Raw genomic sequence first — 14,433 nt, forward strand, 5'->3', positions numbered from 1 at the left:
ATCTTCAATTTTCAATAGCAAAATGATTGAGCATTTGTGCAAAGGATCTGAAGATCAACAAAAGACCACATGGTGTTTGTTTTGTCATTTACTTGGAGACAGGATGAAGGAAGTACAAGTTGCAGTGCAGTGAATTGAGGGCCAGCTACAAGCTACACTCAGCCATCTGATTCACTGGTTTAGGGGTGCATTCTTGCTCAATGGTCGACTTAAAAAACAGGAAGAATGGGTATTTTATGACTCACATAAGTTCTCTAAAGTGTTTTATTTTTATTTTCTGAATATTTCAACCTTAGTGATTCAATTTCTGGAACATTTCAGGTTTACAACCTTTTCTTCTGATTGAAAAATGTCATGATTGACTTGTATAGGAGTGCTAGAGAATATGCTCATTTTATGCAGATCTTTTCAGGTAAAGGTAAATCTAAGTTTGATATTGAGTTAAAAGTATTGAGTTACTAAACATTAAAATAGTTTGCAGAATATCACAGAATGTATTTGAATGCTGTTGCTAATGTAACTGAATAAATACCATAATAAATATAATATTTTAAGTAGAATAAAAATGCATATGAGTGAAATTATACAATAATCAATTATCCTTTTATTTGGCAAATACTTACTAAAGATTTTCCATATACAGGCTACCTAATATGTTTTGAGACATCTACCTTTAACTGTAAATGAAATAAAGAAGAAAATTAGAAATAAGAGGAATAAGAAATCATTCTGGACAGTCTGAGTAAGGAGAACAGTCATAACATAAATATTTGGAATTGAGGAATTACACAAGATTCTAAAAATTTTAAAGTGCATAATTGAATAATTATATTTTATCCCTTCAATCTGTATATTTTAATGATGGCAGTGAGAAACAATTCTAATGCTTTAGAAAATCCAACTTTTAAAAAATGATTTTTAAAATTTTTCCCTCTGATTTATGGTTGGCTACTTTGATGAAATCTTCCATTAAACAGATACTTGCTAACATGACCTCCTCCTTGGTTTTTCTAATTTTCTTAAATTTAGTAATTTTGTTTCTTGGTTGTTGAAAAGAAACTATTTTGCATGGCACATTATGCCAAGAAAAATTAACTTTATTAAATAAACTGAAGTAATACACAGTATTCCTATTCCATAAGTTTTCATATTACAAAAAAGTTTGTTGCCGGGTGTGGTAGCTCATGTCTGTAATCCTGGTGAATTGGGAGGCTGAAATGGGAGGATTGCTTGAGGCCAGGAGTTCAAGACCAGCCTGAGGCCAGGAGTTCAAGACATAGTAAGAGACTGTCTCTCTTAAAAAAACGTTTTTAAAAAAGTTAGTTGGGCATGGTGGTGTCTGCCTATAGTTTCAGCGACTTGGAAGGCTGAGTTAGGGAGATCACTTGAGCCCAGGAGTTCAAGGTTGCAGTGAGCTATGCTCATGCCACTGAACTCCAGCTTGGGCAGGAGAGCAAGAGCCCACTATTAAACAAATTGTAAAAGGTTCATGTGTATAGCCTTCTATTTTGTAACAGTTAACTAAGGGCAGACTTTAGAAACCAAGAGGAAAATACTGTATTCTGAAATGAATAACTTAAATCTCTTTCCTCTTTTATCTAAATATGTTTGTCAAGCATTCATTTTCAGTTTTGGAAGAGGACACAGAGACATTCATTGTTCAAAACAGGCATAATTCAGTGTTCTTTTCTGTTAGCGAAGCGAATGCAGGGAAGGGCCATGTTGACTAGGACCCGTCAGAATGGCGGGCAGCCCATCACCCAGGATGGGACAGTGATGCTTACTGTATACCACGAGGAAGAGCTCCTGGATAGTTCCCACAGGCAGCCTACTTCAGTTTTGTTCATTTAAACCAATAATTGGGGAAACTACACTAGAATCATCTTGTGAGTATCTGTCCATGCATAAAAGTCTTTGGGCTGAGTGATTTGGCTGTCCCAAAACACCCTCCTTTCTTGTGGCCTCTGCCTCTTGCTGTTGCAGAGACGTTTGGCTCTGCACCTCCTTTATGAGTGGGTGTTCTGCACCAGAGCCAGCTTCCAATTTCCGTGCCGGTTTAGAATCAACAACCACAGGACTCACATTTTATCCCCCACTGCCTCCCTTCTCTCCCCTCATTCATGGCACCATGCATATTTTTATGAATCCCCTCTCTTTTTTCAAAGTTAAAAAAATAAAAGAAACAGGGAAACACAGATGCTCCTACTGTTGCTCCATATGGAAACCCACTTTCTAAGCAAGCAAATTGTAGATCTGGGAAGCACACATTGCTGTCCCAAGCTTCCCCCTGGGAGTGTGCAGCTGGATGGGATCCTTTATTCAAAAGAGCAAGGAGAAGGGTGTGGGTTGGGGGTGGGTTGCACCGTGGAATGATCAATGTAGTCTGTAGGGACATGCAGAGGGAAATCTGCAAAATGTTAGTCTCCTCCATCTCGGATGATTCTCAGCATCTCCAACTGTAAATTCGTGGTAGCCTGGTAGAGCCACTTGGAATTTGAGAACTCAGGTTTTGATGAACTTTCTGGCTGTTTCTTTTGCTATTTACAATTTAGGAGTTCTATTTCATTAGAGTTAATTCCAAAAGGCTATCTATAGGAACATAAAGTGAAAGTCCTGTTACCTCCTTCTTGAACCACAGTTTCTATATTCACTTTTAAGAATCTAACAGATTGATTTGGGTATAAGGTGTTTGAGAGCAGAACTTCTCTCTCCTTTTTATATGCCCTATAACATAAACCTAATACATGAACATTCATAAAGAGGTAGACGAGTTGATGAAAGAATGATTACATGTAGCTTAAATTTATGATTAATAACTGGATTTCTATAAAATCTCATTGGCTTGTTTGTGCCCTTTAATTTGTAAATTATATCCTTTTTGGGAGGGTTATATAATGAAAATTTATATATAATATTTAGAAAACATTATAGATATTACATATGCTAATATTTTCTGGAGATGTCTTTGAGTCAAGACATTGGAACAAAATATTATATATAAAGTTTGGTTGTCTATTATAACTATATCACACTGGTATTCAAAAATTGATTCAGAAAGCAGTATTTGCTAAAGATTTTTTTTTTTTTTTTTTTTTTTTTTTTTTTTTTGGTGGGCTCTGAATAAACCTGGGAACAAGGAAAGGGTTGAAAAGATACGGATTTTTATTAAATATGTTCGAAGCAATTCAGTACCTTGGGGAAAACAACTTCAAACTTCCAAGGGCTTCTCTGCAGCTGGGAAAGTAAATTTGTAGAAAACTTTTTTCATGTTTAACTCCAAAACATGAAACCTGGCTCTATATACCACACTGATTCACATCTTACCCAGAGGGACAGATTCACATCTCTGTTGGGATGTACATGCAAGGATTTCCTGTACACAGAGATGGAATAAGCTATTGTGTTGGCTGGCAATTTCTAGTCACAGAGTAAGGAGACTGCATGTCTTTAAGGATTTAGGTTTTCATCTTTAATAAGTGTGGATTAACTCATGGTGTTTCATTACTCTCTTCTCAAAGTTCAATCATTTGCATGCCCTCTTTATAATTGTTTCCATTTTTATGTACCATTATAATTTTGAACTATGTCATTAAATCTGCTTACTTTGTAATTCAGTTAACTTAAAAGTGAACTTTATATCACCACCATAAGTGAAAAGTAGTGCCACAGGTCGTAGATGAAAAGTAATTGGAAAAATAAACACAGGGGTAATAAAATGACGTCTTTAAATTCTAGCTATGTTTTGTTGTCTGCCCAAGTCTCTGTGCTTAAGGTTAGTTTGTTCTTTGTTAAATGGGAGATTCTTAAGTGTTAGAAAGGGCCAGGCGCGGTGGCTCACGCCTGTAATCCCAGCACTTTGGGAGGCCGAGGCGGGTGGATCACCTGAAGGCAGGAGTTCGAGACCAGCCTGGCCAACATGGCAAAACCCTGTCTCTATTAAAAATACAAAAATTAGCTGGGCATGGTGGCAAGTGCCTGTAATCCCAGCTATTCAGGAGGCTGAGGCAGGAGAATCACTTGAACCTGGGAGGCGGAGGTTGCAGTGAGCCGAGATCGCCCCCACTGCACTCCAGCTTCAGCTTGGGACAGAGCGAGACTCCATCTCAAAAAAAAAAAAAAAAAAAAAAAAAAAAAGAATGGCACCACCACAATGACCAGTTCTCCCTTATTTAATCAGAATGATTGAAAGAAATGGCAAAAGAAATAAGCTTATGACAAGGTGATGTTATTTAATATAGTGTCACTATGTTCTTTCAAATAATCTTGCATAAATCCCGAAAACAATTTGAGTATTCTTAAAATCCTAAGTACCGTCAGTGATAAAGCATCCCAAGTCTTGGGAAATGCTGCTGTATAATAAAGATTTTGACACAGAAACTGAAGCACCAATAATAGAAGTATTATAATAAATTGCTCATATTTCTGGGATGCTAGCATCACCAGGGTAACTAGTGTTCAGTTACATAGAGAAAGATAGTTACAAATGTTTATATAAGACATAGGAGGTAGGGTTATTTATATCTAATTAACTTTAAGTTGACTTAAAAGTATCTAAAATATTCTTTATTATTTTATGCATCCATCCCTTTTGAAAATACATATTTATATAATGTGTACCTATATATACAGAAAGCAAGTGATTATTAGATGACTAGCTCTTTACTAAAATATTGTTTTTATATTTTTAGGTAATTAAAAATTGCTATTCTCATTTAGGTATGTTGTTGAAATATTTTGTTGTTGTTTATTCCCTTAATTTAAACAGCAATTCTAGGTGAAATTTAAACAGAATTTTATGACTATGAGATCCTAATCAAAATAGCAGTGGGTTCAGTGAACAAGCTGTTAGATCAACCCAAATGTCCAACAATGATAGACTGGATTAAGAAAATGTGGCACATATACACCATGGAATACTATGCAGCCATAAAAAATGATGAGTTCATGTCCTTTGGAGAGACATAGATGAAAGTGGAAATCATCATTCTCAGTAAACTATTGCGAGAACAAAAAACCAAACACCGCATATTCTCACTCATAGGTGGGAATTGAACAATGAGAACACATGGACACAGGAAGGGGAACATCACACTCTGGGGACTGTTGTGGGGTGGGGGGAGAGAGGAGGGATAGCATTAGGAGATATACCTAATGCTAAATGACGAGTTAATGGGTGCATCACACCAGCATGGCACATGTACACATATGTAACTAACCTGCACATTGTGCACATGTACCCTAAAACTTAAAGTATAATAAAAAAAAATGCAAGTGGTTAAGGGTTAGCCTGACTCTTTAGATTCCAATCCCAGCTCTACTATTTACTAGCCATGTAAATTTCATCAAGTTATTTAATCTTTTTGTGCTAACTTTCTCGTTGTTAAGGTCACAATAGAAATGATGATGCCTACTTTATTTGTTTTACTTACTTAAAGAGTTAATATGTATAATGCATGGAACAATACCTGGCATGCAGTGAAAATTCAAAAACATTAGCAGATACTCCTCTTCCTCCACCTCCTCTTCCTCATTCTAGAGGGCCTTTTGCCATATTATGAGATGAGAAATATGAAAGCATAAAATGCCACATACCACATTGAAACCATAATCATTGTGCTCTTACTGTGTTTAGTGAGTTTAAGTAGTGGGCAATTTAGATTACAAAACTTTCCTGATTTTGAGAATTACAGTCATGTTAATTCATATTCCAGTTTTCTTGAGGCCATTACCTAATATGAAGAGATATTATTCACAGTCAGGATGGAGGGGCGGTGAAATACTCAGCACAGAGAGCTGTCGGCAGCACTAAGCTTTACAACAGCAGCCGGGCCTAGGAACTTGGAGAGTCTTGTCTGGAGGCGGTGATTAAAAGCTTGTAAAATAAGATCTATGGAGGAAGGCTAAAGAAATTTGGATTGTTTACCCTGGAGAAGAGAAGACTTAAGGGTGATTTAATGCTGTTATTGAAGCATAAGAGGGTTCTTTTCTAGAGCCTCCTGGTAAGCTCCTCTGTAGCTCTCCTGAGATTCAAACAGGAGGGGGTGGGCTGACAGTGAGCACAGAGGATTTAGAGTAGGTAAGAAAAGCTTTCGACAGGATAATTTTTTTAAAAACAAAACAATTTGAAAGGGAGACTGTGGAAGTTAGGTTTCTGGAAGTTGTTAGTAATAATAATAGCCATCTGAAGTGGTTTGGTCTGGTCCTGCCCGGAGGCATAGTGATGGGGTGTATTGGCCAAAAACGTACTTCCTGTGAATCAGTAAAGGGCTGGCCCACCCCACCCTTAGAAATGGACTGTTTATTAAGATAGCAGCTCTTCCCATCAGTGAGAGTGTAAGTGCAGTTGGCCCTCCATATCTGTATGTTATACATCTCTGGATTCAACCAACCATGGATCACAAATAAAGTCAAAAAGAAAAACAACTAAAAATAACAATACAACAATAAAAATAATACAAATTAAAACAATACAGTGTATCAACTATTTACATAGCATTTACCTTGAATTAGGTATTATAAGTAATCTACAGATCATTTAATGTTTACAAGAAGGTCTGTGTAGGCCATATGCAAATACTAGACCATTTTATATAAGGAACTTAAACATGTATGGATTTTGCTATTCTCTGGGGTTCTAGAACCAATCCTCCATGGATACCAATGAACAAATGCACCTCAAAATGGTAAACCCCACAAGGAAAGGCTTCAACCCAGGGTTCCTAAAGGGAAACGCAAACCAAGCAGAGGTTCTCAGCTGGAGCCATGACTGACTATGTGTCCCCCTGGATGCTTCTGGAAGTTTTTAATGTTGTGAATCTAGAAATTTTAATATATTTAACAAGTTTTCACTGAAAGCACTCTATGTGGCAATAGCAGTGCTAAGTTCTAAGGTTATAAAAGCAAGTAAGATACATCTTTGCATTCAAGAAGCTCACATTCTGACAGCCTAAGGCAGCATGTGAAAGATCAATTACAGAGTGGTATAGTGCTATACAGCACTTTACTCTGGGACCTAGAAGAGGTTACCTAACTTGGCCTTGTAAGTCAGGAGAGTTTCCAGTGGAGGTGGTCCTTGAGGTAAAGGTATAAAGATAAATAGGAGTTTACCAGATGGATTTAAAAACAAAACAACAGAACAGCATGTGTAAAGACAGGAAGATACAAGGAAGAATGGATGGTTACATTAGCTAAGTGTGTGTCTAAAACAGGTCTATCATTACGTGACTCACTGCTGACATGTAAGCTATCTGGCAGCTGAAATACGGTGTCTGAATTAGGATGTGCTTTAAGTGTAACATACACACCATATCTCAAAGACTTAGTATAAAAAAGAATATGTTTCATTTTTAACTTATGACATGTTGAAATGATAATTTCAATATATCGAGTTGAAGAAAATATACAACTTATTCCACCTATTTTAGTTTACTTTTTTCTAATGCAGTTACTGGAAACATTTAAATTATATATGTGGCTCACATTTTACTCACAATAAGAAGGACATATTACACTGCAACGTATTATATACATACATACATACATACACATATATGGAAAATGCAAACACTGAAACAAAAGGTTCATAAGTTTACCATTATGCTTTGCAGCACACTCTGATATTGCCTATTCTATTCTATTTCATATTGTTTTAATGCTGGTTACAACCCATTAACTTGATTTCAAAGCCCACTTATGGGTCAAAATTTATAGTTTAAAACATATTAACATGTGATTTCACTCCTAATCTGGGCTTTATTCTTTAGCTGCTGAAGTGTTTATTTATTTTGACAATACTGTGATCTGATTGGATTTATCTTTAGACCCTGTCAATACATGGAGGGTGGATTGAGTAGAAGTGAGGTTATGATAGAATGAAGCCATAGTGTTGAAACTGCTATAGTAGTCCATGAGAAAGATCAGGAGGTCTCTAAACTATGGTAATGGCATTGGTGGTGCAGAGAAAAGAATCAATTAAAAGTTGATGAAGACAAAGGGAATGCTATTTAGAACATATATTATGGGATTTGGTGAGAGATTGGATGTGGGAGGTGGAAACATTGGAGCCTATAGTTGAATCTTTGGTTTCAGAACTTGTCATGGGGAGATTAGGAATTCAGGTTTAGACATATTGAGTGGAAATGTCTGCATGAGATCTAGAGTAGACCAGTGAGTAAACTCGTCAGTCTTAAGCTTAGATGTGAGGCTACAGGTCTATATGAGATAATCCAGTGAGTAAGTGTGGACTGAAAACAGACTAGGTAAGAGGACTGAATTCTAAGAAACACAAGCATTCAAAGAACCAGAATAACCATAAAAAGGACTGGATAGGAGAGCACCGTCTAGTGAAGCTGAGGGAGGAAAACATGTCCTGAAGGAGTGGATAGCCAGTCCTTCCACAGAGGAGCCAGTGCTGGGAAACCCATCTGACTTGGTCGACATAGCTAAGAGCAGGAGTTGCTTCAGAGAGGGATGGCAGGCAAATGTGGCTGGCTGGAAAATTAACAGAACGAGAAGAAATAGGGATGATAGACTCTTATACAGTTTTTCAAGAATTTTGCCTGGGGACGGAATGTGAAATTGAAGAAATGAGAGAGAGAGGTAGGGAATAGGAATGTATGAGTAAATGAATGAATGGTAGAAAGTGGAGGATGCAAATTTGAGGAAGCGTTTTGCACAATAAGTTTTGCTTTTTATTTTAAGAAGGGAAAGATTTCGGTATTCTAGTAAGCTTGAACTAAATGGCCCAGCTGTGAGGGAGAATCTGAAGATAAAATCTTGGGAAATGATAAGAAAGCAAAGCCCCTTGGGAGAAGGAGTCTTATAGCCAAACCAGAAGCCATGGAATTCATTGTGGCCAAATGTAAAGAGCGGGGCTAGATAGACAGAAGAGAGGAGGATGGGATGGTGTGGAGATGATGCAGGATGGGCTGCTGAACAGCATAGAAGGACTGCACACTCATCCCCACCCCGATGATCTGATACTCTGCACAGCTAGTGGCATCAAATATGTGAATGTTGTCCAGCAGCACTTGGCAGCCCAGGTCTAGGGGCAGAGAAGAAACATTGGGTGTTGGTTTAGGATCAGGTTCATGCTTGAACTGTAGACTCAGGGCTAGACAGGACTAGAAGGAAAGCAAAGCAAGAAAAAACAGGGAGGGGTCAGGGGACTAAGGATCTGGATGAGGTCAAAGATCAAGAATATATGGAGAAAGAAACAGAAGAGAGAGGAGATTGCTGTCGGGGTTTAAGTTTTGAGATGAGCATTCTGTGACAGAGCCACTGTGGGGGACGGCATGTCCCCAAGTTGACAATAGTCCCATGAAAACTGGTGAGCAGGCTCTAGAACTATAACTTTTTTGTTTGTTGTCAGATGTTTTTGGTTCAAAAAAATTAAAGGTTTGGTCACTTCAGAGCATATCTATGGGAGTGCTTTAGAATTTGTCCAGAACACCAAAAATAAGTGTGTGTGTCTGTCTGTTCCTTATTCTATCAAGATACTTGGAACAACAGGGGTTCCTGCCTTGTATAAAAGGATCTCCATGGTGAAGAAATAGTTAAAGGAACCGGAGTTCAGAATTCAGTTAAAAGATTAGTAAGTGGTTATGTTATTGTTCCAAATTCTCAAATGTGAAAAATACTTTGTAAATTACTAGACTATAACAATGCTAGGAATGCTAATATACTCAGAGGGTAGGAATGATAAATCTAGTGTCAGGTACAAGTGAAGTGACATTTTCAAATGGCCCTCTGCTTTTATCCATGTACCTAGCAGAGCCCAAGTGAAGCCCAGGAAGGGAGTGTGTCCTCTATAGAGATTTCTCTGTATCAGGACGTTTCCTCGAAAGTAGGAGATAAGTGCTGAAGCACGTGCCCATACCTCAGAGTACAGCCGGTGAATTATTTGATGCGTTGTGTGTTCCAGGATGACTCAATCTGGGGAGCTTGGAAGTCACTGCTGGAGAGATATTGTGAAGGGTGCTGAATGATGATATTCATCAGCCGCACTTCCTGTGTGTCCCTTGCTAGAACATGATCCTCAGTTTCATCTCCATTAGAGAGAAAATACTCTGAGTTCTGTTTTAATATAGAACAAGCTTAATGGTTCCAAGCTCTTGACAGTGCCAGAACCTTTCTAAGGCTCTTAGCTGTCCCTGGCAACTGTTAGAACAAGAACATTGCCATTCGTATGTCCAAGCTTGCATTTTCCGGGTGGTCCAAAAGCCATGTGCCGTGGGGATCTTATTTTTGGATTGTATTTGTCGTTTTTCTTGTTTTTCAGGAAATGATAGTTGCAAAAGCAAAAATGGGCTGATTGAAGGCCTCTGTGAATATTTTTCATTACTTTCGATGGCAGCTGATGATTTTTAGGCTTCTTACCACTGTTATGCGAAACATGATTTTATGTGATGGCCTCATTGCTGAGGGTGCAGCAACAGGAATAAAACAAAGATGGCTGTCCAATGTGAGTCTTGGAAGAGCTATCCATGCCTGGAGAGTGCTACTCACCCTGCAGTATTGGATCATTTGCCTGCATCTTGTAGAGGCTTCTGAACTTATATTTGAGAAGCTGAGACCTGCAAATATTGACCTAGTCTTCAAACCAACACAGCTTGCTAGTATACTATGTGAACTGTGTGTACACATACACACACTCATGTGTTTTGTATTTTTGTTTTTGTTTTTAAAGTAGAGAATGTTATTTTCTATCTCACAAATAATGTTCCTTAAACACAGTTATCACCACAGGTTGATTATCTGCATATCTCTCAGAGACAACATTGTTCAGACAGAAAAAAGAAAATCTTGGACCACTTGTATGTTTTTATCCAGGCATTTTTGTAGGGCCCACTTCGTTTTGAAGGGTTGGTACTATTAGGCTGACAATTTTCATTGCCCACGGAGGGCGATGAAGAATAGTGGAGTTTTCCAGTTCATGCTATCAGGAACTGATGTGTAGAATTAGGCTTAGATAATATCCTTTGTCTTTTCCAAAGATGAGACGATATTTTTCCTTTCTAGTAAAGATTGTATTTGTTGTCCATTTGCAGCTTAGGGGAAGGATTAAGAATTTTTATGTACCGTCCAGTTTGATGTTTGTTGCCTATTTAGGAAGCGAGACAACGAAGCTGATATTTAGTTAGTTTCTCTTAGGGTAGATTAATAGTGTTGTCCTCACAGCGTTATCTTCATTAATGAAGAGCACTGAAGTTCATGACATTCTGAGAGGCCAGAACAGGCTCACCAGGCCTGCCACGTGTTTTCTCTTCATGCTAATTCCAGGATTACTTGTAATTCCTGGATTAAATATATTGTTTGTCAGCTCTTCAGAGTAACCCCCAAAGTGCATGACATACTGCAATTCATCACTTGAATTGTGGGCCCTGTGAGGAGAAGGCTGTGTGGAGCTGAGTGATTCAGCCTGTGTGAATGCCTAATGAAGATCCACATCTCAACTAGTTTTGTGCTTTCTACTTGATCGCATGGACTCCTGCAAAGAGCTGCTTTATAAATCCATCTAGGTGATATTTACAGAATTGTTAAGAAGATATCTAAAGGGGGCACAAGTATTTTTCATGTGTACTTTACACATTTACAGAGGAAATTACATGCCACAGTGGTGTTTGCACTTGGGGGATTGGTGAAGGCCTTTGGGTGGGGTCCATTGTGTATGTGCAGAAGCAACACAGCTCTGGAGAATCAGGACACAGTGTTTCTTAGTCTTTCTTGGGTGAAAATATGAACACTTTCACGTATAACTATATCATGTTATTGACATTTAAAAGATATGCATGCATTTTTTATAACCTTGGAACTGTTTTAAGATAGAAGACAACATGGTGTATTTAAGTGAGCTCTGGCAAGGGATTAAAAATAACAGATTCCAACTTCTAAATGACTGACCTTGAGGGTGTCACCCAACTTCAGCGGCCTTGGCAATGTCATGTGCTAAATGAGGTAGTCTTAGTTATAACTTCAGGATCTACTTGGGGAGTGGGACTTCTAAGTTAGAATTCTCAAGCCCTATTTTAGGCTAATTTGCTAAAGGTTGCTTCACACGGGAGGTTATCAGCCTGTTTCATGCCTTGTTGTAAAACTGATTTTTTTTTTTCGCATTGAAAAGGGAGGCAGTGCAGGAGGAAGTAGGCTTGTTTATTCAGTGAACGGTCTAATTTTGGGTTCATTTCTCATTTTTTGGAGCATCTAAGAACTCCTTACGCTTTGAGCATTGGGGACATGAGATTTAAAATCATGCCCCTGTGTTCTGGTGCAGGTCTGAGATGCCCACCAGCTGGCCCAGGCTGCATCTGCTTTAATGACAGGCAAGCCAGGCTTCCCTTTGGCTTGTAAACTACTTGCTCAGCTTCTGTGGTCATTTTCTTTCAAAAAACTATGAATGCAATGCAGGAAGCACCATCCAGATGTCTGTATGCTGCCAAAAGATGGAGTGCATAGAATGGAGATTCCTGCAAATAGGTGTGGAGCAGAGAAACGAAGAGTATGTTGTCTGTTCTCAGGTGACCCTGGAGGAAAGGACTCATTCCACTTTGGCCCTTTTTTGTTTGGCAGATTTATTCATTTCACCACACTGTGTTTTCTTTTCTTTTCTTTTCTTTTCTTTTCTTTTCTTTTCTTCTTTTCTTTTCTTTTCTTTTCTTCTCTCTTCTTTTCTCTTCTCTTTTCTTTTTTTTTTCTTCTTTCTTTTTTTGTTGTTGTTGTTATTGTTGTTGAGACGGAGTTTCACTCTCGTCACTCAGGCTGGAGTGCAATGGCATGATCTCTGCTTACTGCAATCTCTGCCTCCTGGGTTCAAGTGATTCTCCTGCCTCAGCCTCCCAAGTAGCTGGGATTACAGGCGCTTGCCACCAGGCCCAACTAATTTTTGTATTTTTAGTAGAGATGGGGTTACACCATGTTGGCCAGGCTTGTCTCAAACTCCTAACCTCAGGTGATCCACCTGCCTCAGCCTCCTGAAGTGCTGGGATTACAAGCGTGAGCCATGGTGCCCAGCCTCACCACATTGCATTTCCCCTCACTGGAAAGGGAATGCTGTCATCAGCCAGGCAGAACAAATTTATTGGAAATAAATGTACATTTCTTGTTTCTTTTATACCTATATTCCTTATTTATTTCCTTCTTTCCTGCCTTCCTGCTTCCCTCTTGCCCTCCCTCACTCTATCCTTCTCCTTTTCTCTCTCTTTCCTACACTCCTCACTTCCCTCTTTCCCTTCTTTTCATCTTTCCTTTATAAAACTTCTGTGAGGGGGAGGGAAAACCACTTTCCTTTGAGTCCTGATATGAATTTCTTTACTATAATGGTAATTGAAATTTGCATCATTTCTTACTTAGTCTAATAAGAATATTACAATAATGGTTATTAAATTTATTAAAACTTCTATAACATAAAGAAGTGTGTATGGTACACTTGTATGCATTTTTAAAAAGTGAAGTAGAAGTGAGGTCACAGTCAATGTGCAAAAGAGTTTTATCTGAGCAGAAAAAAGCCCTGGTAGTTTAACATGGGTGGGAGCCACAAGTACGTTGGGACTCACCCCACCCTATCCCACCCTTCTGAAGCTGTGTAGTTTGCGGACTATGTAATAAAATGGGGTTAATGTGTGTAGTTTGAAGTCAGTTTCAATATAAAAGTTTTATAAAAGTCAATTTCATTACTTTATAGCACACTAAAATCATTTAGTTTTGGCATATACCCTAGCTGACTGCAGTGATTTATCCAAGAAGAAAAACAGTTTCATTTCTAAAGGAAGAAAAGGCAAAGATCATAGCCAACATCGGAAAATGGATTAGGGAAAGAAAGTAACATCCTTGGCCCCAAGCCCACCCTGGGAGGGCTGTGTAACCCCAGAAGGAGGCCAAGGCTGAATTAGTGCTGACCCAGGCTTTGGGGCATTTCCAAGCTGAGTGTTGAACTAATACAGGGAAGTTCCTGCTGTGGGCAGACCTGTGCCTGTAAAAGGTGCTGAGTGAATATTTATTGATCAAGCTGTTAATTAAATACCAAGTCCCAAACCAGCATTCAATTTATTTGAATTCCAGAGGAAGTAGTGTAGTGTCAACACAAATAAACACTCACCTAAGTAATAGCATCTAAAACTGTTACACAATTTAAACATCACCTCAAGATGAATCCCTGATTCAAGAATGAGGATATTAGTTTTTCTCTTTTATTAGGTTCCTGTTTGGTTTCTCTAAACAATGTGCCAATGAATAATTGTGACTTCCTCAAATCCTTCCTAACCAAGATCTATTCCCGTGGTTTCACGTTTTATTTTGTTTCTTTTCTTTGTATGGATAGCTAAGCCCTAATAAAACTATTGCTCAACATGGGAAATATTGGAAATATTTTATGAAATTTAGGTCATTACCATGGTGCTGTGCTACCGGATTAATACATTCTTCTGCACATCTTACTGA

The 14,433-nt window shown here is 38.3% G+C and overlaps 1 protein-coding gene across 8 annotated transcripts in view, besides 1 other annotated feature; it reads left to right on the plus strand.

Annotated features, from left to right (window-relative positions):
- The window catches only part of ADAMTSL1 (ADAMTS like 1), a 1,004,318-nt gene that overhangs the window by 155,248 nt on the left and 834,637 nt on the right, over window positions 1-14,433 (plus strand). The window lies entirely within an intron of this gene.
- Window positions 9,138-10,337: an enhancer, noted in NCBI's record as "CDK7 strongly-dependent group 2 enhancer chr9:18071016-18072215 (GRCh37/hg19 assembly coordinates)". NCBI's record gives its function as "activates an origin of replication core promoter dependent on BRD2, BRD4, P300/CBP, MED14 and CDK7 cofactors, with strong dependence on CDK7, by STARR-seq in HCT116 cells {active_cell/tissue: HCT116}" and the evidence as "EXISTENCE:reporter gene assay evidence [ECO:0000049][PMID:35650434]".

This window comes from Homo sapiens, chromosome 9, assembly GCF_000001405.40.
Source record: "Homo sapiens chromosome 9, GRCh38.p14 Primary Assembly".
Classification (NCBI taxonomy): Eukaryota; Metazoa; Chordata; class Mammalia; order Primates; family Hominidae; genus Homo; species Homo sapiens.